Genomic DNA, 25,202 nt, shown 5'->3' on the forward strand with positions numbered 1-25,202 from the left:
GTCTCGATCTCCTGACGTCATGATCCGCCCGTCTCGGCCTCCCAAAGTGCTGGGATTACAGGTGTGAGCCACCGCACCCGGCCCTACGTACTTTTTAATTGCTGTATTTACTGAAGCTTCCTAGATCATTATGTGAATGTATCTTCTTGGGCTTGGTGCGGTGGCTCATGTCTGTAATCCTAGCACTTTGGGAGGCCAAGGCGGGCGGATCTGTTGGGTCCAGGAGTTCAAGACCATCCTGGGCAACATGGTGAAGCCCTGTTGCTACAAAAATTCGCTGGGCGTTGTGGTGCATGCCTTTAGTCCCAGTTACTTTGGAAGTTGAGGTGGGAGGGTCACCTGAGCCCAGGAGGCAGAGGTTGTAGTGAGCCGTGATTGTGCCACTGCACTCCAGTCTGGGTGACAGAGCGAGACCCTGTGTCAAAAAAACAAAAAACAAACAGTATCTTCTGCTCACCCATTGCCATGTGGGGTTATTTGTTTGCATCAAAGCTAGGCATCTTTGAGAGTTCCATGCCCAGTTCTGGACTAGGGGCTGAAGTGGGTAAACAGATGAAAAACCACGGCTGCACAACACAACTTAACGGTGTAGCTGGACACGGACCAGGCCGACTGAGGTGTAAAGATGGTATCAATCCTTAAAACGTCCCTTTTCCCCTCCAGGGTTGGGGTCTGCTAGGTCCCCGGAATGAGTTGTTTGACGCAGCCAAATACCGAGTGCTAGCTGATCGCTTTGGCTCCCCTGCCGACAGCTGGTGGCGTCCGGAACCCACCATGCCCCCTACTTCCTGGCGGCAGCTGAATCCAGAGAGTATTCGACCAGGGGGACCTGGGGGCCTATCCCGCTCTTTAGGCCGGGAAGAAGAGGAGGACGAGGAGGAAGAGCTAGAAGAAGGGACCATAGATGTTACCGACTTCTTGTCCATGACCCAGCAGGATTCCCACGCTCCACTCAGGGACTCAAGGTACAGATGGAGGATGGGGATGCAGCAGAGGCTGGCTGTGCCTTGACACGGGGATGGGCGAATGTTCTCTGCTAGCTTTCTCTGAGATGGGAGCGCCCCTGCCTCACATTTCAGCCTGTGTGCCCCATCACTCAGTGTGTGTCTGCCCATTCTTGGGGGACAGCCAGCTGTGGTCTTCTATGTGGCTGGGCTTTTGCAGAACAGCAGCATGGAGCCCCTGCTCTCTGCTATCTTATCTGTGTGAGGGAATGGAGGGAGCAGTCCCCATGCAGTGTGGCTGTGGGAGGAGCAGAGACGCCCGGTTTCCCATCCATTTCATGCCTTCTGCCCTTCTGGCTCCCTGCTGCAGCGCAGCGTCCTCACCCCTACATCGCAGAGCCTCAGGGAAATTGGTCCAGGAAGAGAGAATTCTTTCAGTTAAACTTTTGGTCCTCCCAGGGGGAGTTCCTTTGAGATGACAGATGACGACAGTGCCATTAGGGCTCTGACCCAGTTTCCACTTCCCAAGAACCTTCTGGCCAAGGTGATTCAGATTGCAACGTCATCCTCCACAGCTAAGGTGAGTTGGGTCTCCTAGAAGTTTGTGTGGGGGCCGTTTACTTGGTCATGTCTGGTGTTCCCTAAAGGCAGGTTTAGAGAGGGCTGAGGGGGTGTGTTCCTCCAGCCCAAACCTAGGCCAGGTGGAGGAACTCCTGCTTGGGAGGAAAAGCAGCAGGTGTGATGGAATGGAGGTCAAGCCTCAGCAGCACAGGGAGTGGGCTTGGGGGCCGCAAGAGCAGAAGACCCATACCTCTTCTGGGCGGTGGATTGTCAGTGGGGAAGGGTTAGAGGTGTGGGTCTTGGTGAGGTATGAATTTCTCTCTTGCTGCCAGGCGAAGGGGCTTTGGTCATGAAATGCCTAACCTTGTTTTTACTTTAACTCGTTGCTTTGAATTTTGTCCTGCTTGTCTCTTTAATCACCTAGCCTTGCTTCTCATGTAAAATAAGACTCTCTCTAGCTAAGAAAGCCGTACAAACCCCAATTGACCCCTTAATTTACAAGACACTAAGGGCTCCTCACCCAACCCCCTTTCGTAAGGAGTTGGCCTGGGTAAACAGATCCTCAGCATTTCAAAGGAGCCTAATTAACTGATAAGGTACGAACACCAACAATATATGAAGTTCCCAGGAATTTTCTCCAAGAGATAACAACATAAAACCTTGAGTTCGTGTCTGGCGTAGACCCTATATCTAATTATAATGAAAGATTTAGAATCTTGCACCTGGTACTGTTGCTCTTCTTGTAACCATTTGTCTTTTAAGTTGTTTATCACTCTGTAACCATTTTGATTCTTTTGATTCTTGCATGTTTTTACTTCTGTAGAATTATTACATTTAAGTCCCCCTCCCCTTCCTAAACCTAAGTATAAAAGTTAATCGAGCCCCTTCCTCGTGGCCGAAAGAATTTTGAGCATTAGCTGTCTCTTTGGCCGCCGGCTTAATAAAGGACTCTTAATTCGTCTCAAAGTGTGGCGTTTCCTTAACTCGCCTAAGTACAACAGTTAAGCAGAGCTTCTGTCCAGGTGCAGGGTCTTTTTGCTCCCGCAGGATGTGCCTGGTTTTTAGCTCATGCTGACAGCTTCAACCCACAGCTGCCACGATGTTGCCGAGATGACAGTGGGCTAGGAGGGCAGGTGATGGCATTGCCCAAGCACTGTCTTCTGCAGTGGAAGTCGAGGTATAGCAGGAGAAGCGAGCCTGGGACTAGGGTGCCTGAGCCCATGGGCCTGCTCCTGGCTATGCAGCAGCACCTCTAGCATGGCTCACGCCTGGCACCTGCTGAGATGGTGGCTCATTCTGTCTCTGGGCTCCTTGGCATTCTGAGAATGCCCCAAGTCTCTTCCCATTCCCTACATTTCTGTAACCATCTCTCTTGCCTTCCATGTAGAACCTCATGCAGTTCCATACTGTGGGCACCAAGACCAAGCTGTCTACACTCACCCTGCTCTGGCCCTGCCCCATGACCTTTGTTGCCAAAGGGCGCCGCAAAGCAGAGGCTGAGAATAAGGCGGCAGCCTTGGCCTGCAAGAAACTGAAGGTGAGTCCAGGAAGGTCCTGGGTGTGGTGCATGAGAATGTCTTGAAGCTCCCCTCTGCCAGTGGCAAATGGGTCCCATTTTCTAGGAAATGAAACCACCACAGCAGGCCTTTTGCCTGGCACAAAGACAGCTGGTATGCAGGCCTCGCTTGTAGGCCCTGTGGCTGTTGCCATGGCTTTTCCAGAGGCCCTGTGGAGATACTTTGCCCGTGACCCAGCATTTTCCACACTGTTGGCCTGAACCTGGTGAGGCCGGGAGGAAACTTGCTCATTGTTCTGAATAGTATAAAGCCGGGAGGAGCCGGGCCTGTTTTGAGAGGCAGACCTGGTGTCCAGTATGATCCTGATAACCCGGGTTTTGTGGGCAGAATGAATAATGTGACTTGTGACTGCAGTGATGATTGAGGAAGCAGTCAGGATCAAGGTAGAGACAGTGTGGCAGACAGCTGGCAGTTCTCTTTTTTTTGAGACAGGGTCTCTGTGGCCCAGGCTGGAGTATAGTGGCACGATCATGGCTCACTGCAGCCTCGATCTCCTAGGCTTAAGCGATCCTTTCACCTCAGCCTCCTGCATAGCTGGGACCATAGGTATGCACCACCACTCCCAGCTTATTTTTAAACATTTTTTGTAGAGACAAGGGTCTCACTGTGTTGCGAAGACTGGTCTTAAAATCTTGGGCTCAATCAGTCTTTCTACCTTCACTTCCTAAAGTGTTGGGATTGCAGGCGTGAGCCACCGCTCCTGGCCATGGCCGTTCTCTTGAAAGGGGCTGGTGGAGTTAGCTGATGGCACAGTAGTGGGAGGGAGTTGGGATTGTCTCTGACTGCCTGAGGAGTTAGTAATCTCAACCCATGTTGGTGGAGGTTTAGTTTGCAGACCAAGATAGAAATGGGCCTGCTTTACTCTGAATGGTCAGGTGCACCATTTCATGGGTACAGTTGGCTCTGGGAACCATGTTTTAGTTACAGCTGATGGTGAGAGGTAACAAGAACCTGGAGAAAGACGAGGAAGAGGGGACAGGCAATTGGTGAGATAAAGAGGGCACAGATATGCTACCTGTGACTCGAGGGCAGAACAAGGACTGAGTAGAACTGGAGGCATCTGAGCTTTGGCCTGATGCACACGCACTGTGAGCAGAAGCACCTTGGCATGGTAGGGGCCTGTCTGGGAAGGAGCAAGCTTTGCAGTGGCTGGAGGGCCATTTGTCAGTGAGGCTGGTGGGTAAAACCCATGAAGTCTGGGGAGAGGGCAGAAGCCTGTTCCTGCAGCAAGGAGCTTGTGTTGGCACCTCCTGTGGTATGAGGACCAGATTCCTGTCCTTTAGGTCCTTATAGCTGATGGTGCCAGCACGCCCAGAGGCAGGGGGTTGGCCCCTGTTGGGGGAAGACTTCTTTAAGGAGGGAGTGTTTGATCTGGGCTCCGAAGGGTGAGCAGAGTCCAGCCATTAGAGGTGACAGGAACACAAGACTAGTTTTACCCATGTGCGTGAGGTATTGGAATGCTATGTTTTATCTCTGGTGAGGTGGCTTTAGGTATGTAGGGAGGTAAGACACAGTGTTTTCCTTCCAGTGGCTTGTTTGATCAAGTTGCATTATAATCGACATTTACAGGAAATTCCACGTGCATCTGTATATGATGGGGTCACAGATGGGTCGGGTGCCATGTAGGGATTGGGAGGCGGGATGGAAGGATTAGGGGAGGAAGGCTTTGATGAGGCAGCAAAGGAAGAGGGAGTCTGTGGGGTGCGTTCTAGCATCGAGGGCCTGGCCTGGCTGGTCTGAGGGTACATGTTGGGAATTCACAGAGGTGACAGTGGCCTATTGTGGTGTTGGGGGGGCTGTAGCCACACAGTGAGTGGTTTCTCCTCAGGGCCTTCTCCAGACGTAGGGCTGTTCTGCTGTGACACATCAGGTTTAGCTTTTCTTGAATTAACTTTATTATTATTTTCTTTGAGACAGAGTCTCGCTCTGTCGCCCAGGCTGGAGTGCACCGTCATGATCTCGGCTCACTGCAACCTGTGTCTCCAGGGTTCAGGCGATTCTCGTGCCTCAGCCTCCCTAGTAGCTGGGACTATAGGTGCCGGCCCCCCACCTGGCTAATTTTTGTATTTTTAGTAGAGATGGGGTTTCACCATGTTAGCCAGGCTGGTCTCGAACCCCTGACCTCAGGTGATTTGCCTGCCTCGGCCTCCCAAAGTGCTGGGATTACAGGCGTGAGCCACCGCGCCCGGCCTGAATTAACTTTAGTTCATTTTTTAAAACGTTTATTTTGGTAAGTTAACATTTTCCTAGTTCATAATTTCTCCCTCCATCACCATGTCAGCCAAAATCCAAAATCTCTTAGAGATTACTTGGCACAACTTATGCGTTGGAGCTCCTGAGCTTGTCTGGGCTGGTTTTTGGGGAGCCCCAGAGCATAGACTGAGTCTTGCATGTCCCCCTGCAGAGCCTGGGCCTGGTGGACAGGAACAACGAACCGCTTACACACGCCATGTATAACCTGGCCTCTTTGCGTGAGCTGGGTGAGACCCAGCGCCGACCATGCACCATCCAGGTGCCCGAGCCCATCCTCCGCAAGATAGAGACCTTCCTGAACCATGTAAGAGGCCCTGCATCCCTCACCACCCCTGCTCCCTGTAGTCTGCCTCCATCTCTCCAGACTGAAGGCCTCCACCTGCGACAGGCAGTAGTACCTCCCCATTCTCTTCACTGAGTTTGGGGCCTGGGATCCCCCTGGCCTGAACAGCCCAGTCTTGCCCACAAGGATCCCGGGGCAGTCATGGACTAAATTAATCCTCTGCCCAGCGGGTTGGGCCACAACATCTGACCCAGGCGAATCCTGCAGAGTGGCTGGTTGTGTGTGAATGAGGAATTTCTTTTTCATTGTTTTGCTTGCCTCCCTGCCCTCCAGTACCCTGTGGAGAGTTCATGGATCGCCCCAGAACTCCGGCTGCAGAGTGATGACATCTTGCCCTTGGGCAAGGACTCAGGGCCTCTGAGTGACCCTATCACAGGCAAGCCCTATGTGCCCCTGTTGGAAGCAGAGGAGGTACGTCTCAGCCAGAGTCTGCTAGAACTGTGGCGGCGGCGAGGGCCGGTCTGGCAGGAGGCCCCCCAGCTACCTGTGGACCCACATCGGGACACCATCCTCAACGCCATTGAGCAGCACCCGGTGGTGGTCATCTCTGGGGACACGGGCTGTGGGAAGACCACGCGCATCCCCCAGCTGTTGCTGGAGCGCTATGTGACCGAGGGCCGAGGTGCCCGCTGCAATGTTATCATCACCCAACCTCGCCGCATCTCTGCTGTGTCTGTGGCACAGCGGGTCAGCCACGAACTGGGCCCCTCCCTGCGCCGGAATGTGGGCTTCCAGGTGCGGTTGGAAAGTAAGCCCCCATCCCGAGGCGGGGCCCTGCTCTTCTGCACTGTGGGTATCCTGCTGCGTAAGCTGCAGAGCAACCCCAGCCTGGAGGGCGTGAGCCACGTCATCGTGGATGAGGTGCATGAGCGGGACGTGAACACAGACTTTCTGCTGATCCTGCTCAAGGGCCTGCAGCGGCTCAACCCGGCCCTGCGGCTGGTGCTCATGAGTGCCACAGGGGACAATGAGCGCTTCTCCCGATACTTTGGTGGCTGCCCCGTCATCAAGGTGCCTGGCTTCATGTACCCAGTCAAGGAGCACTACCTAGAGGACATCCTGGCCAAGTTGGGCAAGCACCAGTACCTGCACCGGCACCGGCACCATGAGGTGAGGGACACCCCCATCCCACCCAAGGCTCCTGGCCTTTCCTCCGTGGATGCCCCTCCTCCCTGGCCCTGGGGCTTGGTGCCTGGGGCAAGTTACCCTCCCCAGTCCTCGGTTTCCTTGATAGAAACTGGGGACTAACCCTGCCTGCGTGGCACACGTGAGGATTGGAGTTGATGTCAAGCGGCTCCGTCTCACTGAGTCAGGTGGCTGTGTCCTTGGCATGACCCCTTACCCCGGGGCTGTGACTGTGGCCTCTCTTCCCCCACCCCAGTCTGAGGATGAATGCGCACTCGATTTGGACCTTGTGACTGATCTGGTTCTGCACATCGATGCTCGCGGGGAACCAGGTGGGTGCCTCCCCATCTGTCCCATGCTAGCCCTGGCCACGTTTGCAGCAACAGCTGGCTCATGCCCCAGGGCTCCTTTACAGGTGGGATCCTGTGCTTCCTGCCTGGGTGGCAGGAGATCAAAGGAGTGCAGCAGCGCCTCCAGGAGGCCCTGGGCATGCACGAGAGCAAGTACCTCATCCTGCCAGGTGAGAGCCCCGGCGGAGGGACCAGGGACCTTTGGAAACCAGCCTGACCTCTGTCCTAGGGACTGACCCAACTGGGACTCCAGGGGCCCCGGTTTCTGACCAAGCTGTGGCACTTTTCACTGGGCATAGTGTTTATCTGCGCCTGTTTCATCAAAATGGGGTCAAAATCCTTGCCCTGCCCACATTCCAGGGGGGAATTCTGGTGGAAGCAGTGCCCATAACTGGTGTGTGTCTTGCCCACCAGTGCACTCCAACATCCCCATGATGGATCAGAAGGCCATATTCCAGCAGCCTCCAGTTGGGGTGCGCAAGATTGTCTTGGCCACCAACATTGCTGAGACTTCCATCACAATCAATGACATCGTGCATGTGGTGGACAGTGGGCTGCACAAGGAAGAACGCTATGACCTGAAGACCAAGGTGGCACCTACCTCCTGGGCCCGGCCAACCACTGGGGGAGGGACTCCGTTTTGAGGTGGTCCCCAGCCCAGATCTACCTTAGACCTGCTTTGTGTGTCTTCAGAAGGCCGCGCTTGTGGGGTCTCAGTGTTCCTGATGTAGGGGGCTGGTGAGGGTTACTCAGGGAGTGGGGAAGCACTGAGGAAGTGGCATTTGTGTGCTGCTTACTTGCCACCTCCTCCAGGTGTCCTGCCTGGAGACAGTGTGGGTATCAAGAGCCAATGTGATCCAGCGCCGGGGCCGGGCGGGCCGCTGCCAGTCCGGCTTTGCCTACCACTTGTTCCCTCGAAGCCGGCTGGAGAAAATGGTCCCTTTCCAAGTGCCAGAGATCCTGCGCACACCTCTTGAGAACCTGGTGCTGCAAGCGAAAATCCACATGCCTGAGAAGACGGTGCGGCGGGGCGGGGCAGGGGCTGGCCTGGGGACCAGGCAGGTGGGAGGCAGGCTCATGGCGGGCTCTGGCTCTGTCATAGGCGGTGGAGTTCCTGTCCAAGGCTGTGGACAGTCCAAACATCAAGGCAGTGGACGAGGCTGTGATCTTGCTCCAGGAGATCGGTATGTAGGGGCTGGGCTGGGCTGGGCTGGGGAGTGGCTCTCGAGGGTGGTACTGACAGCTGAGCCGTTGCAGGGGTGCTGGACCAGCGGGAGTACCTGACTACCCTGGGGCAGCGCCTGGCTCACATCTCCACCGACCCCCGGTTGGCCAAGGCCATTGTGTTGGCTGCCATCTTCCGTTGCCTGCACCCACTACTGGTGGTCGTTTCCTGCCTCACCCGGGACCCCTTCAGCAGCAGCCTACAGAACCGGGCAGAGGTGGACAAGGTCAGTCCTGGCTCCTTCCTGGAGCCGTCCACCCACTGCTGTTCTGAGGGGGCGTTGTCTAGCCCCTGCCTGTGATCCGGCTGCCCTCTTCTCCCCTCCCAGGTGAAAGCACTGTTGAGCCATGACAGCGGCAGTGACCACCTGGCCTTTGTGCGGGCTGTCGCCGGCTGGGAGGAGGTGCTGCGTTGGCAGGACCGCAGCTCCCGGGAGAATTACCTGGAGGAAAACCTGCTGTACGCACCCAGCCTGCGCTTCATCCACGGTCAGTCGGGCCCACACCTGCTCTCCTGAGCCCCTCCCACCCCCACTGAGTTTCTGTCACCTCCAGCCTGTGGCTAGGGGCTGTAGGTCCACCACACATTCTGTCTCCCTAGGACTCATCAAGCAGTTCTCAGAGAACATTTATGAGGCCTTCCTGGTGGGGAAGCCCTCGGACTGCACCCTGGCCTCCGCCCAGTGCAACGAGTACAGTGAGGAGGAGGAGCTGGTGAAGGGCGTGCTGATGGCCGGCCTCTACCCCAACCTCATCCAGGTGCTGCCTCTGGGAGGGAATGGAGTTCACCAGGTCCCAGCCTCCTTCCCTGTCTGCAGCTCCTTGCTCAGCCCCACCCGTCTTTTCCTCCATCCCTGCAGGTGAGGCAGGGCAAGGTCACCCGGCAGGGGAAGTTCAAGCCCAACAGCGTCACATATAGGACCAAATCAGGCAACATCCTGCTGCACAAGTCGACCATTAACAGGTGAGGGCATGCAGGCCTGGATGGGGCAGCTGGGATGGTCCAAAAGGGTGGCCTCACCAGCCCTGTGTTCCCTAGGGAGGCCACACGGTTACGGAGCCGATGGCTGACGTATTTCATGGCAGTCAAGTCCAATGGCAGCGTCTTCGTCCGGGACTCCTCTCAGGTGCACCCGCTAGCTGTGCTGCTGCTGACCGACGGGGACGTGCACATCCGTGGTGGGTGCCTGCAGGCCTCCCGCCCACCCCGCTCTGCAGCTGCTCCTCCGGGGCCTGGCCTCACCACAGTTCCCCACCATCTTTTCCATTCCCTCAGATGACGGGCGCCGGGCCACCATCTCACTGAGCGACAGTGACCTGCTGCGGCTGGAGGGTGACTCGCGTACCGTGCGGCTGCTGAAGGAGCTGCGGCGGGCCCTGGGCCGCATGGTGGAGCGGAGCCTGCGCAGCGAGCTGGCTGCACTTCCCCCCAGCGTACAGGAGGAGCACGGGCAGCTGCTTGCGCTACTGGCAGAGCTGCTGCGAGGACCCTGTGGCAGCTTTGATGTGCGCAAGACAGCTGACGACTGAGCCCTGCTTCTGCTGGGGCTGTGTACAGAGTGCAAATGTTTATTTAAAATAAAGTTCTATTTATCCCTTGTGACCACTGCTGTCCACTAGGGGCTCCTCTCTCAGGGCCTCCATACACTGGGCCACGGTTCCCCAAAGAGGAAGGAGGAAGGTAGGTAGAGAAGAGAGTGAGATGCTTATTGCTGGGGAACGGGCTGGCTGTGGCCCCAAGTCTTTTAAGAGAGAAGGGGGTTGGAACCTCCTCCCTTCACCAAGAAAGAGCATGAAGCAGCGGTGCTGTTAACCACCCCAGTCCCCTGGCACAGCTGCTGCTCTCGGTACCCACCACAGGAAGCCTGTCAGAACTGTCACTGTCCTTGTAGTTTTGGACAGTAAGTAAGCAAGTAAGTGTCAAGTAGCCCTTTATCAGGCAGACTAGGGGAGAGTTCCACAGGTAGCCAAGGCGCAGGGCTATGTGGCACAGTGGTCCTTCCCGTGTCCACATCCACAAGTTCACAGCTGAGGGGCTGAGCTGAGGGCAGGAAGATCCAGGGAGGTGGTAGATGCAAAACGAGACAGAAGCACGAAGCCTGCGTGATGGGACATCAGGCAGCTTTATTTATTTACTCTTAAAACTGTTACAACAGAATCATGGACTGACACAGGTAATGGCTGAGCCATAAGCAAATCGAGAAGTACAGAAATGTCCCACCCCAAACAGCTGCGGAGTACACATCACACAGGGCCTCTGGTCCCGGCCTTCTCAGGTGCTCTGGAGTGGAGGATCCTTTGAGGGAACTCTGACCACTCCTGTTGTCTACCTAGAGAGCACGCCACTTGGGCCACCTACCCCCAACCTTTGGCCAAAGGAGTGAAAGGACCTGGAACCTGTCGTCAACCTCAGCATCCTCATGACCCCAGGACAGACGCAGTGGAGGCAGCAGGTACTCTGGGCCTGTGCTGTTGCCCCTGAGGTGTCTCCTGACTACGCAACCCTGTTTCCTTCCCACTTTCATCCCAGCAGGCCCTTTCTTCCTGCTGACAAAACACTGGCTCCCTCATGTTCTTGGCACAGCAGAAGTGTTCTGCACATGGTCTCTACGGAGGAAAGCTGGTCCCCCTGGCCCAGGCAGCACTTCCTCCGTGAGCCCCTGCAGTTTCCTGGTGTGTGCTTGGGGAGCTAGGGACATGGTGTCAAACCTCCACAAGGCACTGCTACCTCAGAAAGGGGGAGGACCTGTCAGGCCCAGGACAGCCTCCCTGCACATGGAGATCAAATCTAAACTTAGGTCAAGACCCCTACCTTCTCCAGGGATGCCAGGACCAGAGAAGGGCAGAGGTCAGGAGGGGGCATGAGGAGGCCAAGTCTGGGGCAGCCTCCTCAGAGGCAAATCTACACTGCAGCCAATCCCCCTCCAGAGAAGCCCTTGGAATCTCCCAGGCCATTTCACTACAAACTTATGTTTGAATCCTTTATTAGAAACCATGCAAACTTTAATACAAAAAATACAAGTGCAATAAGAATCTTTGTGTCAATACAGTTCCCGGGATTTCTCCTCACTGCAGCCATCCCAAGGCCTAGCTGGGATGCCCTCTGTGGGCCTTGCCTCTCCTCCCTCCCCTCTCCAGTCAGGGCATAAGGGAAGCAGATAGCCTTAGTCTCATGCCTTTTATTTTTAAATTTCCAGACCTGATTTCCTACTATCTGCATGAGGCTCCCTTGGACATGAGGGCTTACATGTCCTAGGGTGTGGGTGCCGGCCTGAAGGAATTCCATCTCCTGGCCCTTTCTTGTTCTCCAGCCCTGGCTTTTTATCCTAGGGCTGACCACCAGATCCCAGGGAATGGGACAGAGATGCCAAAACCAGCCTCTTGGTTAGAAAAGAAAAGCAGCATACACACAACAAAATGGCAAAACCAACCAGTCCACGCTCCAAGGGCCCCTTGTGTGCCTGACCGGCTCACCAGCCACAGCCTCTGCACCCCTCTTCCCTGCCGCACCGCCTCCAGGGCCCTAAGCTGCCCACATCCTCCAGCGGGGGTGGCATAAGGATATCTCCGCCCTGTTCCCTCTAACACTTACTGAGGACTTTCATGTAGACATGGCTTCAACCTGCAGAACTATTTTGCCAGTTTTTAGGTTATTAGAAAAAAATAAAAGGACAAAACAAGAAAAATGTGACAGCAGCTAGGCGGGTATGTTAAGCATGGGGACAGGCAGCACTGACCCCCAACTTGGGGCAGGGCAGCAAGAAGGGCCCGACACCACCTGCATGGGGAGGGGGGGGCGCCCATTTGTGGGACCAGAGGGAGAGGCAGTGGCTTAAGCTCCACGGTCAGCGTCCTGTCACCACTCGGAATCCACCTCCACTCTTCCCTCCAGGTAGATCCAGGGAGAAGGGAGGGCATGTCAGTTTCTTTTGGGTTTGGACCAAAGAACCAAAAAAAGATGAGGATAGAATCTGGTTCTCCTCTCCTAGATCCCAACTTAGCCTCAACCACCCCAACCCCCTCCCAACCTCCTCCACGGAGCAGTGGCGCAGTGATGGGGCAAGACCAAAGCAGGGAGATGGGCCCAGGCTGGGGAGTGAGAGGAGGTGTGGGGCAGGGCTGCTGCTGCCCCGGGCACGCAAAGCAGGAGGGAAGGCGAGCCTAGCGGGCTGCCCAGCACGGCGCCCAAGCGCTCACTGGTCTAGTGGACAGCCCGGGAAAGGGGGCCAAGGACCCGGGAGCCCGAGTTGGGGCCGCCAGGGAAGTGTGGGGGGCGGGAGACAATGTCGGCCCCGTGGTCGGTGCGGGCCCTGGCATTTGCCCGGAACGTCAGCCTGTAGGTCTCAATCTGCAGTGACATGGGAGGAGGGAAGGGAGAGGGGAACAGGGGAGACAAGAGGGGAACACGGGGGAGACGGAAGACGAGACCAGAATGTCATCATTAGATGCCTGGAAAATAAAAGGTTACTTCATTAAAATTTAGGCCACACTCTAGTCAAAAACAAAGGAGTTTCAATTTGCGGCCAGTGGCAGGGCCCCTGGCTGGCCCTTAGGCCGAGCCCAGCCACTTACTTGTCTCCTGGATCTGGCTGTCCAAGGTCTGGGCCTCCCTTTGGTCACCACCCCCTGACAGGGTGGGGTGGCCATTGAGGCCACTGGCTGAAGTGGGGGCGCCAGCTTCAGGCGCTGCCTCAGAGATGGCCGGCTCCTCCCCAGCAGGGGGACCCGGACACAGAGGAGCCTCGCTGCCACCGCCCTCAGTCTACAATGAAACAGTGGGGGAGACAGTGCAGGGTCAGTCGAGGGGGGGAGTGGGATGGGGTGATGGTGGTGGGTTTCACACACAGCCCCCACCCTTGCTGCCCTGGCACCCACTGGCTCAAGGCACAGTCGCTTGGAGAATCCCAGGCAGGTGCCCCGGCCCCACCCACCCCACCTCACCTGGGAGACCGACTCCCGAGGGTCAGGAGCAGCTGGACCAGTGACACACTCTCAGAGCCCCTCTGTGGCATGTGAGGCTCTGATGAAGCCTCTCTGAGGGCAGAGGTGCCAGGCCTCAGGCTGGTACCAAAGACGTAGCCATGACAACAGTAAGCAATAAGCCTGAAGGGTAGCCCCCTGAAGGGTACAGCCCACCCTCCCAAACCCTCCCTGAACCCAGGCCACCCCCTGCACACAGAGTGGGGTCCTCAGTAGCTCCCGGGCAGCCCTGCCTGCACATCTGTCTGGTCAGGAACACAGGTGCTGAGGCCTTGTCTGTGCGGGGCACCATTCTGGGACCAGGGGTCCATGGGAGGCAGAAAGGTGTCCAAGGAGGTATAACCCAGGGACACTGTGGAGGCCTGGAGGGCGTCATAGGAGGAGGACATTTGGGGGACATGGAACACTCAGTGTGAGGAAGGCAGAGAAGAGAGAACAGCTGCGAGAGGCCACTGGGGAGCTGGAAAGCGTGTGTCGCCAAATACCCAAAAAGTGACAAGGGAGAAGTGGTTTCTAATCGGCATAGTGAGAAATAGGCCTCGATTAAAAACAATAATTCCAGAACTAATAAAGGGATATAATGTGAACAAGGAAAAGAACACAAGGCTTAGGGTCAGAAAAGCCCAGATGTGAATCCTGGTCCACGCTCGCTCGCTGTGTCCTTGGAAAAGAGACTAAAGCCAAGTTAACGCCCCACTGAGACGGGCGTGAGAACGGCATCCTCACGAGGTATGGGGGGCACGAACTGAGAGCCTGTGGCAGCAAGGACCCCCCCAGATGTTCCTGGAAGCTGATCAAGGCTTCAGTCAGAGCATCAGGAGAGGATGGGACAGGGGACGGGCTGGGCAGTGGCTGGCACTGGGGAGCAGAGATGGAAGGGAAGGCCCAGGGCAGCGGCTCCTGGCCCCTCTCCCCTGCGCACCTGAACCCGAGCAGCAGCAGCCATCCTTGTGCTCGGGGTCTGCAAGATGCCCCTCATGGGCCCCCCACCCACGGATGACATGGAACATAGGACAGACAGCATCTTGGCACACAAAAGGTCTCACAGTACTGTGGAAGGAGGAAGGGAGGAAAGAGGAGAGAGGGAAGGGAGAAGAGGCCCAGCCAGTCGTGAGGATGGGAACCTCTGCCACTTGAGCTCTGTCCCAGAGCCCTGCAGAGGGAGGCCCCAGGCAGGCCCTGCAGAGGGAGGCCCCAGGCAGGCCCTGCAGAGGGAGGCCCCAGGCAGCCTGCTGTCGCTGGCAGCTAAGAATGTGCTGTCCTGCTCCTAACCCAGGAGCGGAGCCTGACATGGGGCGGGAACCCACATTCCCCTTGGCGCGAGACAGCTGGGGAGAACTGTGTGGTGCAGAACCCCCGCTCGCCTGGGGGTGGTCTGTGTCCCAGTCCGTGGCCTTCTCAAATGGCTGGATGGGCTCAATTAGGAAGGCCATGGCTCTCAGGAGCAAGGTTCTGCCTCCAGCTGACAGGTGAGGGGTGGCTGGGCTGGGGCCTCTTCACTTCTGCCTCAGTCAGGACTGATGATACACGGTGGGAAAACGGCAATGGTGTGGGTGAAGACATGACTCCTGAAGAGACTGAGGGGCGGTGACAGGTGCCTACCTGTGAGGACCCTGACCCTAACTGCATAGTTCCCACCCCTCCCCAGCTGTGTCTCCCCAGTGACCCACTCGCTACCTTCACAGCACCTCCTGCAGGTAGGTGGCCCACATTATCGAGGGATCCCACCTTGGCCTGGGCCTTCTCCTTGAAGTTCAACTTCTGACTTTCAATCTTGACATCTCCTCCACCTGGAACCACAAAGGAACTGGTCACCTAGGGTGGCAGAGGAATATCCCTGCAGGCAAAACCAGGACTAGCGATATGCCCAATCTAGAAATGAGACAGACGTGACCTGTTCTGGGTGGCAAATGAAGAACAGTGAACACGTTTGTCTAAAGAGGACTTCTCATATCACAGTGAGGCTGAGACAATCTCTCCGTCCAGCCAGTGGGAATACCTCCAAGAAAAGGAAAGCCATCCCTTCCACCACCCCATGCCACAGCCACTGAGCTGCAGGCCAGGCTTGGGCAGGCCTGGGGCTCCGAGCACAGCCTCCAGGGCGAAGCCTCTGCTTCTCTACTCTGTGTGGGAATGCCCTCCCGCTAACTGGGCCATGCAGTGCTTCTCAGGCACAGCCTCACTGAATTCTCATGAATGCCCTGTCATCACGGCCACGGTCCCTGCTTCCCAGCCGGTAAAACTGATGCTGCAAAAGAGAAGGGACTCACCCAGAGTTACCACCAATCTGCTGATTGACAGTGACAGGTTGTGAAAATTGTCTGAGACCCTAAACCGTACCACACTCTAGCAAAAAGAAGGAATAATAAAAAGGACAGAGTGGCCCCGAGGCTGTGCGCTGAGGAAGGAAAGACATGGACCAAGGCAGGCCTGGGATCTAGTGACCTCAGGCTAGGACGGGGAGGGAAAGTGGTCTGAACTCACGCCCAGGGTTCAGAGCTCACTGGCCAGAGTGTGCCCATGAGACCAAGGGGAAGGGTGCGGGACGAGCTGCCCTCAATGAGTACCCAGCCCCTCCCGCGCCCAGCAGCGTGGTTTCCCTTGGGCCCCTTCTCCTGTTCTTCCATCTCCTCTCAGCTCACATGGCAGACCTCCACGCACAGCTTCTGGCCGAGGTCTCCCGGTGTCCCATATTGGGAAACCCAGCCCTGGCAAAAACTAGACCCTAAGTGACTCAGTGTCATTAGAGAAGGAAGTATCTGATAGGAGATTTCCCAGATAAAAGGGGAAAAAAATGGTTAGTTAAGGACAGAACTGTTTTGATCTTTCTAAATAGAACACATTCTAAACTGGATCATGCTCTTCGCTGAGAGGGAAAGGGAGTTTTTTTTTTTTCTTTTTGGAGACAGAATTTCGCTCTGTTGCTCAGGCTGGAGTGCAGTGCCATACTCTCGCCTCACTGTAGTCTCTGCCTCCTGGGTTCAAGCAATTCTCCAAAGGCATGCACCACCACACCTAGCTAGTTTTTGTATTTTTAGTAGAGACAGGGTTTCACCATGTTGGCCAGGCTGTTCTCAAACTCCTGACCTCAAGTGATCCGCCCGCTTTGGCCTCCCAAAGTGCTGGGATTACAGGCATGAGACACCGCGCCCGCCCTGAGGGAAGAGAGTTTTGCCTTCACCTTATCTGGCCTGTGGTGGCTAGCCTTCTGGGATACCAGGTCTGCCAGCCAGTGTGCCTGCTGCTACAGCAGTCCTACTCACAAATCTGCTGTAGACCCAGGAACTAGGACACGAGGCTGCTAGGGGACTACCCAAGGCAAGAGCCCAGCCTCCGCACAGCGACTTCCACAGGGGCGCTGGGCCAACCATGTTGCTGGAAGGAAACTGCATTAGTGCAAGTTGCTGAACGCCTCCCATTCTCCTGCCAGGGCTAGCGGCTGATGCTTCACTGGTTGGGAGCACCCTTTGCTCCTGCATCTGATAGGTGGGACCTGAACACTGCCCTCTATACAGCTCCTTCAGCAGTAGCTTCTGTAATCCTCGTTTAGAGCCAATCCAGGTTCTCAGCTCAGAGTGCACCACTTCCCCAGGCCTAGCTCAATAGTTCCACACACACAGTAGGTACTCAAGAGAATGCCTGTGCAGATGGCTGCTGTAAGAAACTGCTCCTCCTCCACTTAGAGGTTAGCACCCGAACTCCTGCTCCCTGACAGAATGAGGACTGTGGTGTCCTGGGTAGTCTTCATGGGATGCTAAAGGCACAGAGATGAAACCCTTGCCAGCCAGCTGGCTGCCCAGCTGACCCATGGCAGGACGACATACCCTGGAGACCCAGTGGGCAAGGGAGGCACCACTCACCAGGCTTGTGCTTGATGTTAGCCTTAGACCCACACTTGGAGGAGACCTTAGAGATGTCCACTTTCTTGTTCTGAATCTGAACCTGAAGAGAAGGACACAAAAGACTCATTCAGAGAGAAGGTATACTGTCAGAGCCAACCCCATGCTACCTTTTAAATCTTCTCCATGTTCAGGGTTTCTCGCTCCCTCTGTAAGCTGCTATCTCAGTCTGGTCAAAGACAAGGTCATCTCCCTAAGTACTTAAAAGAGCCCTCGACCCACCCTGGCCCTGCTCTTCACTTCCTTTTTTTTTTTTAAAGATGGAGTCTCGCTCTGTTGCCCAGGCTGGAGTACAGTGGTACGATCTCAGCTCGCTATAACCTCCGCCTCCTGGGGTCAAGCAATTCTCCTGCCTCAGCCTCCCGAGTAGCTGGGATTACAGGCGTGTACCACCACATCTGGCTAATTTTTTGTATTTTTAGTAGAGACAAGGTTTCACCATGTTGGCCAGGCTGGTCTCGAACTCCTGACCTCAGGAGATCCACCCACCTCAGATTTCCAGAGCCCAGAGTGTTGGGATTACAGGCGTGAGCCACCACGCCTGGCCTTCACTTTTTTTTTTTTTTTTTTTAAGACAGAGTTTCACTCTTGTTGCCCAGGCTGGCACGATCTTGGCTCACCCCAGCCTCCATCTCCCGGGTTCAAGTGATTCTTCTGCCTCAGCCTCTGGAGTAGCTAGGATTACAGGCATGCGCCACCACGCCCAGCTAATTTTGTATTTTTAGTAGAGACAGGGTTTCTCCATATTGGTCAGGCTGGTCTCGAACTCCTGACCTCAGGTGATCCGCCTGCCTCAGGATCCCAAAGTGCTGGAATTACAGGTGTGAGCCACCACGCCCGGCCACCAGCCTTCACTTCTAACCCCACCTCCAGCCAGACCAAACCACCATTTCCACACCCCACAGGTCTTTCTGTGCAGACCCTGTCCATGCATGCTCCAGACAGCTCTTCTGTCATTTCACCAGGTCCAAACACCAGCACCAAGGCTCCCATGAAATATCCCCTTTATTCCATCTCAAATCCTTACCTATCAACTCCTTGCCCAGAGAACCTGGAATAACATATTTACTTCTAGTCCTTTTCAATGCATTTTCCCCTTGGGAGAGGTGAGGGGGTGGTGTGTGTGTGTGTGTGTGTGTGTGTGTGCGCGTTGTGTGTGTGTGTGTGTGTGTGTGTAATCATAGTATTCCTGCTTAATCCATGTTATAACAATTTTCCCAGCCAGGTGCAGTGGGTCATGCCTGTAATCCCAGCACTTTGGGAGGCTGAGGCAGGCAGATCACCTGTGGCTAGGAGTTTGAGACCAGCCTGGCCAGCACAGTGAAACTCTATCTCTACTAAAAATGCAAAAATTTGCATTTAAAGGTGGTGCACCTTGGCTGGGCACGGTGGCTCACGCCTGTAATCCCAGCACTTTGGGAGGCTAAGGCGGGCGGATCACGAGGTCAGGAGATCGAGACCATCCTGGCTAACATGGTGAAACCCCGTCTCTACTAAAAATACAAAAAAAATTAGCCGGGCGTGGTGGCAGGTGCCTGTAGTCCCAGTACTCGGGAGGCTGAGGCAGGAGAATGGCATGAACTCGGGAGGCAGAGCTTGCAGTGAGCCGAGATCGTGCCACTGCACTCCAGCCTGGGCAACAGAAAGAGACTCCGCCTCAAAAAAAAAAGGTGGTGCATCTTTAAGTCTATAGCCATGCATGCCCTCTGGGTTGCTGGATGGGGATTCCAGCATTCCTGTGAGCGGCCCCGCTGTCCTCTGGTAGGTACTGTGGGAGAGCCTGACTTTCCAACACATCAACTCCATGCAGTGTTGCACCATTCTGGTGGGTTTCACCACAAGCTGTTAAATGGTGAGCTACCTTCTTGAGCCCTGTTTTCCCTTCTTTGGTGTCAGGAAATATAGTCTTCACCATGTTTCCAGAGGACAGATATAATGCCACCAGTATTTTTGTATTTGCACCCACAGCCCAAGGCCTGGCACAGAATAACTACCCACAATCCCCAGCTTGCCAGAGCCATTCTCAATCTTTCCTCTAAAACTTGGCTCATGCCTAACCCAGCAAACCCATTATGTTTTCTTCCCCATCCTTCAATGCCCAGCTCAAAAGGTGCCTTCCATACGGCCTCACATAGCTCTCGCTTCAATCCGTCTCTTTCTCATATCATCTCTTGAAGGGACACCACCAGGAACTATACCATAATGGCTTCACGTGTTTGATAATTACATACAGAGTAGTTACTACTGTGAAAACACACAGCCTCTACTTTGTCTCATCTTTCCAAAAAGTCTGCAATTTTCCCTAGATAGAAATTTTTTTCTTTTCTCCTCAATCTATAGTTCATTATACAGATATTTATAGGCATCTCCAAAATGGAAGTTTAGGATACAGCACAGATACCTCCTCCTAAGTATGTGCTGATGACACCACTGTAAGTGCTTTATCTGGGTTTAAAACAAGGTATCTTGTTATTTGTTAGGGGAAGAAATGGCCAATTCAAGAAGAGGGAGACATGAAGACCTCATCCAAACATCTCCCTATCCTTATCCCCCATAAGAGAGGGCATAGGGAAGGGTACTTTTACCAGCCAAAGATCTGGTAGCTGCTTAAACCAACCCAACATGGGTCTTCAAGCAATGGTGACAAGCTCATCTTAGCTGTAACCACAACAGCACCTGCAAGAAGTTAACAGTCACTCTCCAAGCCCAGGGCCCTCACCAAGATGTAGAGCCACAGATTTCTTTCTTGTTTTCTTTTGAGACAGGGTCTCACTCTGCCACCCAGGATGAAGTGCAGAGGCATGACCTTAGCTCACTGTAGCCTCAACCTCCCAGGCTCAAGCCCCTCAAGTGGCTGAGACTACAGGCGCACACCACCATGCCCAGCTAATTTTTGCATTTTTTTGTAGAGAAGGGGTTTCGCCAAGTGGCCCAGGCTGGTCTCGAATTTCTGGGCTGAAGCAACCCACTTGCCTTGGCCTCCCAAAGTGCTTGGATTACAAGTGTGAGCCACTGCATCGGCCAGGGCCACAGATTTCTAGACAGTGTTCCATATTTGAAGCCTCTATCTCTTGACCTTTTGTCTAGTATGCAATTAAAGAATAGTTGAGGGGCAGTCAGTTTCACATTATGGATGTATTCCAGCTGGTAAATGAAGAAGTAATGCTAGAATTAGTCTTACCACGGCATATGCCTACTGAACCCACAGGTCCAGGAATTGCCAACATCACAAAAAAAGAGACAACCGAAGAATGAGACATGAATGTAATTTCTCACAGAATAAACCTCATTACCTACTTACATGTCATGCTAGCATGTGGGGAAAAAACCAAAACCAAATAAATTTAAAGAAAATTGAGGGACAACAGAATATGTTAATTAAAACCATGAGGATGTAATTAGAAGAATCCAGATTCTAGGACAAACCACTGAGCTTACCCATCAAGGAAATTACCAGTAAAAAAAAGAATGAGCCAGGCACAGTGGCTCACACCTGTAATCCCAGCACTTTGGGAGGGCTGACGCGGGTGGATCATTTGAGGTCAGGAGTTCGAGAACAGCCTGGCCAACACAGTGAGACCCTGTCTCTACTAAAAAATACAAAAGTTAGGCTGGGCGCAGTGGCTCATGCCTGTAATCCCAGCACTTTGGGAGGCTGAGGTGGGTGGATCACCTGAGGTCAGGAGTTCAAGACCAGCCTGACCAATATGGTAAAACCCCATCTCTACAAAAAATACAAAAATTAGCTGGGTGTGGTGGTGGGCACTGTAGTCCCAGTTACTCGGGAGGCTGAGACAGAATTCTTGAACCCAGGAGGCAGAGGCTGCAATGAGCCGAGATCGTGCCATTGCACTCCACCCTGGGTGACAAAACGAGACTCCGTCTTTTTTTTTTTTTTTTTTGAGACCAAATCTCACTTTGTCGCCAGGCTGGAGTCCAATGGCATGATTTCAACTCACTGCAACCTCCGACTGCCTGGTTCAAGCGATTCTCCTGCCTCAGCTTTCCAAGTAGCTGGGATTATAGGCACGCACCACCACGCCCAGCTGATTTTTGTATTTTTAGTAGAGCCGGGGTTTCACTGTGTTGGCCAGGATGGTCTAGAACTCCTGACCTTGTGACCCACCTGCCTCAGCCTCCCAAAGTGCTGGGATTACAGGTGTGAGCCACCACGCCCAGCCAAGACTCTGTCTTTAAAACAACAACAACAACAACAACAACAAGAACAAGAACCCAAAAGTTAGCAGGGCATGGTGGTGCACGCCTGTAATCCTGGCTACTCAGGAGGCTGAGGCAGGAGAATTGATTGAGCCCAGAAGGCGGAGGTTGCAGTGAGCCAAAATCACGCCACTGCACTCCAGCCTGGGCCACAGAGTGAGACTTTGTCTCAAAAACAAAACAAAACAAAACAAAAAAAGCTGCTGGCTCACACCTGTAATCCTAGCACTTTGGGAGGCCGAGGTGGGTGGATCACAAGGTCAGGAGATCGAGACCATCCTGGCTAACACGGTGAAACCCCATCTCTGCTAAAAATACAAAAAATTAGCCGGGCGTGGCGGCGGGTGCCTGTAGTCCCAGCTACTCAGGAGGCTGAGACAGGAGAATCACTTGAATTCGGGAGGCGGAGGTTTCAGTGAGCCGAGATCGCGCCACTGCACTCCAGTCTGGGTGACAGAGCGAGACTCTGTCTCCAAAAAAAAAAAAAAAAAAACCTAGGTAGCCCACACCATGAAACAGATGTAGTTTCTGACATAAGAGTCCTATGTTAGGAATATATCCTAGAGAAATAACTTGAAATGTTAAAGCTATTTATACAAAAATATGATTTTAAATGTGTTATAGTTTCATGCCTGAGGGACAGAGCGAGACTGTGTCTCAAAAAAAAAAAAAAAAAAAAAAAAAAAAAGAATGGAGTGGGGACTTGTAGAGTAAAAACAGCTTAAGATTAAAAGAGTTATAGCTTGTATTATCTTATTAGTGTTACTATTTTAAATATATGGATCAATTTTTTCCTTTTTTTTTTGTTGAGACGGAGTCTCGCTCTGTCACCCAGGCTGGAGTGCAGTGGCGTGATCTTGCCTCACTGCAACCTCTGCCTCCCGGGTTCAAGTGATTCTCCTGCGTCAGCCTCCTGAGTAGCTGGTACTACAGGCACGTGCCACCACGCCCAGCTGATTTTTTGTATTTTTAGTAGAGATGGGGTTTCACCGTGTTAGCCAGGATGGTCTCGATCTCCTGACCTCATGATCCGCCTGCCTCAGCCTCCCAAATTGCTGGGATTACAGGTGTGAGCCACCGCGCCCAGCTATATGCTGAAGTATTAACAAATAAATAATATATCTAGGACTGGCTTCAAAATACTTGGGATAGGCATATACAGATAAACCAAGACTGCTCATGTAGATAGTAAATGAGGCAGGGTAAAAGGTACATCAGGTTCATTTTACTGTTTTTTTCTACTTGTCTGTGTTTGAAAATTCCCACAATAAAAAGTTGTTTTTTTTTTTTTTGGTTTTTGTTTTTTGAGACGGAGTTTCGCTCTTGTTGCCCAGGCTGGAGTGCAATGGCACAATCTCGGCTCACCATAACCTCCGCCTCCCAGGATCAAGCGATTCTCTTGCTTCAGCCTCCAGAGTAGCTGGGATTATAGGCATGCACCACTAGGCCTGGCTAATTTTGTACTTTTAATAGAGACGGGGTTTCTCCATGTTGGTCAGGCTGGTCTTGAACTCCCGACCTCAGGTGATCTGCCTGCCTTGGCTTCCCACAGTGCTGGGATTACAGGCATGAGCCGCTGTGCCCAGCCCAGTAAAAAGTTTTAAAAAGCTTAACTGAGCCTCACTCACTTTAATAAAGTCCACCACCTCTAGGCTACAGCTCTCCCTCCTTAGGTGGCTATGTGGAGGAGTCTACAATCTGCTTCCAAACGATTCCCCCACACCACCCTGCCTCCACTCTATGCTCCAGCCTCAGGGAACCATGTGCGGCGCCTCCTTCATGGGCTGGCCCAAGTGTCCCCTCCTCGGGGACTGCAGAAGCCACGCTGGCTCTCTGTGGTCCTAGGAGCAATCACGGCATCACACACCTTGCTCTGCTTGTGCTTACACAGGCTGCCTGCCGCTCTATGAGAGCCTGCAGGCACACTCCAGGTACCAAAACATGCTGTCAGCAGGTCTCAGTGCCCACTACACATGCACAGCCCCTTGCAAGGGTGAAATGGAACCAAAACGGACACAAAATCTTAACTGGGACCAGCCACAGAAGAAGCCACTACATTGGCACTGGCTCATCACTCCCCTCCCTCCCCTCCGCTGGTGTCCTCCTGGCTCTCATCAAGGGGTATGTCTGTCTGTCTGTCGGGGGCATTTTTGGAGCACTAACTAGGATCCTGTTTGGAGCCTCTCATCCCTGTGGTAACTGCGTTATTTCTGTGTGTGTGTGTGTGGGTGTGGGTGTGTGTGTGTGTGTGGGGAGTGGTGGGGGGTGTAATGCTGTTCTGTCTGCACAGCAGGTCCTCCTCCCTTTTTTTTCAGTGTCTCTCTCTGTCACCCAGGCTGAAGTGTGGTGGTGCCATCACGGCTCATTGCAGTCTCAACTACCCAGGCTCAAGGAATCCTCCCCTCTCAGCCTCCTGAGAAGCTGGAACCACAGGCACATGCCACCTAATGCTGCCAGGCACATGTCTAATTTAAAATTGCTTTGAAACCCAGGCTGGTTTCGAAGCAATCCTCCTGCCTGGGCCTCCCAGGGCCACTGTACCTGGCCTTATTTTAAAAGATATTTTTTTTGGGACTGGGCGCAGTAGCTCTTGCTATAATCCCAGCACTTTGGGAGGCCAAGGTGGGTGGATCACCTGAGGTCAGGAGTTCGAGACCAGCCTGCCCAATATAGCAAAACCCCGTCTCTACTAAAAGTACAAAAATTAGCCCAGGTGCGGTGGCTCATGCCTGTAATCCCAGCACTTTGGGAGGCCGAGGCGGGCGGATCATGAGGTCAGGAGATGGAGACCATTCTGGCTAACATGGTGAAACCCCGTCTCTACTAAAAAATATAAAAAATTAGCTGGGCATTGTGGCGGGCGCCTGTAGTCCCAGCTACTCGGGAGGCTGAAGCAGGAGAATAGCATCAATCCGGGAGGCGGAGCTTGCAGTGAGCCGAGATCGCACCACTGCACTCCAGCCTTGGTGACAGATCGAGACTCCGTCTCAAAAATAAAATAATAACATAACATAACATAAAATACAAAAATTAGCTAGGCATGGTGGCAGGTGCCTGTAATCCCAGCTACTCGGGAAGCTGACGAAGGAGAATCGCTTGAACCTGGGAGGCAGAGGTTGCAGTGAGCCGAGATTACGCCACTGCACTCCAGGCTGGGCGACAGAGCAAGACTTTTTTTTGTAGAGACGGGGGTCTTACTATGGTGCCCAGCTGGGGGGCTCATCATTTTAAACTGCACATTTCCTTGTGGTGGCTTTAGGGAGGGACTGACAGAGATTATGGAAGGAAACAAAGCACCTGGGTCCAGCTGTGGTCAGCTGTTGTTTATCCTCATCTTCCCACCAGGAAAGATGGCTCACAGTAGTCTCCCTAATTCTCTGTTTAAGGAAGCCTCCTAAAGTGAAAAGGCTTTAAAAATACATTCACCCTCAAAACAACAAAACAAAACAAAAAACCCTACACATGTGAGGTCATGTGTAGGCAGTGTGGAAAGATCACAGCAGGTGATACATTAATGATGACTATTTTCAGAGCTCTTATATGCACCACACAACACACACAAATATATCTCTATGTCTCACCTACACAAGTGACCCAGTTCCCTCAGAACCCCTGTTCACCTTCTGTTTTCATCCAGGACAAAGCCAGGCTCAGCAGCTGCCTGGGCCCCTCGTGGGCTGGATCTTTGTCACCTCACTTCAGCTGATCCTATTCCAGGCTGACTAATT

At 53.7% G+C, this 25,202-nt stretch overlaps 2 protein-coding genes and 1 non-coding gene across 173 annotated transcripts in view, besides 3 other annotated features; 2 read left to right on the forward strand and 1 right to left on the reverse strand.

The window, feature by feature from the left end:
• DHX30 (DExH-box helicase 30) overlaps window positions 1–9,980 on the forward strand; it is a 47,056-nt gene extending 37,076 nt beyond the window's left edge. For all 9 annotated transcript variants that reach the window (NM_001330990.2, NM_014966.4, NM_138615.3 and 6 more), the window contains 16 exons: window positions 664–965; window positions 1,404–1,524; window positions 2,893–3,042; window positions 5,487–5,639; window positions 5,952–6,788; window positions 7,060–7,135; window positions 7,219–7,323; window positions 7,568–7,743; window positions 7,967–8,173; window positions 8,256–8,337; window positions 8,411–8,604; window positions 8,707–8,866; window positions 8,979–9,136; window positions 9,238–9,341; window positions 9,417–9,556; window positions 9,654–9,980. In NM_001330990.2, coding sequence (NP_001317919.1) covers window positions 664–965; window positions 1,404–1,524; window positions 2,893–3,042; window positions 5,487–5,639; window positions 5,952–6,788; window positions 7,060–7,135; window positions 7,219–7,323; window positions 7,568–7,743; window positions 7,967–8,173; window positions 8,256–8,337; window positions 8,411–8,604; window positions 8,707–8,866; window positions 8,979–9,136; window positions 9,238–9,341; window positions 9,417–9,556; window positions 9,654–9,907 — 3,219 coding nt within the window. In that variant the 3' untranslated portion in view covers window positions 9,908–9,980. The remainder of the gene's footprint in view (window positions 1–663; window positions 966–1,403; window positions 1,525–2,892; window positions 3,043–5,486; window positions 5,640–5,951; window positions 6,789–7,059; window positions 7,136–7,218; window positions 7,324–7,567; window positions 7,744–7,966; window positions 8,174–8,255; window positions 8,338–8,410; window positions 8,605–8,706; window positions 8,867–8,978; window positions 9,137–9,237; window positions 9,342–9,416; window positions 9,557–9,653) is intronic.
• Window positions 1,532–2,038: an enhancer, noted in NCBI's record as "NANOG-H3K27ac-H3K4me1 hESC enhancer chr3:47883235-47883741 (GRCh37/hg19 assembly coordinates)". NCBI's record gives its function as "activates a minimal SCP1, AML or CMV promoter by ChIP-STARR-seq in naive H9 embryonic stem cells {active_cell/tissue: H9 hESC(naive)}" and the evidence as "EXISTENCE:reporter gene assay evidence [ECO:0000049][PMID:30033119]".
• Window positions 6,958–7,059: a silencer, noted in NCBI's record as "fragment chr3:47888661-47888762 (GRCh37/hg19 assembly coordinates)". NCBI's record gives its function as "represses an EF-1alpha promoter that drives an FKBP-Casp9 reporter gene in an ReSE screen in phorbol 12-myristate 13-acetate-treated (for megakaryocytic differentiation) K562 erythroleukemia cells {active_cell/tissue: K562(+PMA)}" and the evidence as "EXISTENCE:reporter gene assay evidence [ECO:0000049][PMID:32094911]".
• MIR1226 (microRNA 1226) lies at window positions 9,342–9,416 on the forward strand. The gene has a single exon (NR_031595.1). It is a non-coding gene; the product is annotated as a microRNA 1226 (primary transcript).
• The window catches only part of MAP4 (microtubule associated protein 4), a 238,154-nt gene continuing 223,433 nt past the window's right edge, over window positions 10,482–25,202 (reverse strand). For 89 of the 163 annotated variants that reach the window (NM_001384845.1, NM_001384839.1, NM_001384817.1 and 86 more), the window contains 4 exons: window positions 17,218–17,299; window positions 15,035–15,147; window positions 12,950–13,139; window positions 10,482–12,826 (listed from right to left, as the gene is read on the reverse strand). In NM_001384845.1, the coding sequence (NP_001371774.1) occupies window positions 12,819–12,826; window positions 12,950–13,139; window positions 15,035–15,147; window positions 17,218–17,299 (393 nt within the window). In that variant the 3' untranslated portion in view covers window positions 10,482–12,818. Of the gene's footprint in view, window positions 12,845–12,949; window positions 13,140–15,034; window positions 15,148–17,217; window positions 17,300–25,202 lie in introns of all 163 variants that reach the window. The other 74 variants (NM_001384862.1, NM_001384867.1, NM_001384848.1 and 71 more) reach the window with 5 other exon arrangements.
• Window positions 12,046–12,563: an enhancer, noted in NCBI's record as "H3K27ac-H3K4me1 hESC enhancer chr3:47893749-47894266 (GRCh37/hg19 assembly coordinates)". NCBI's record gives its function as "activates a minimal SCP1, AML or CMV promoter by ChIP-STARR-seq in naive H9 embryonic stem cells {active_cell/tissue: H9 hESC(naive)}" and the evidence as "EXISTENCE:reporter gene assay evidence [ECO:0000049][PMID:30033119]".

This window comes from Homo sapiens, chromosome 3, assembly GCF_000001405.40.
Source record: "Homo sapiens chromosome 3, GRCh38.p14 Primary Assembly".
In the NCBI taxonomy this organism is placed as follows: Eukaryota; Metazoa; Chordata; class Mammalia; order Primates; family Hominidae; genus Homo; species Homo sapiens.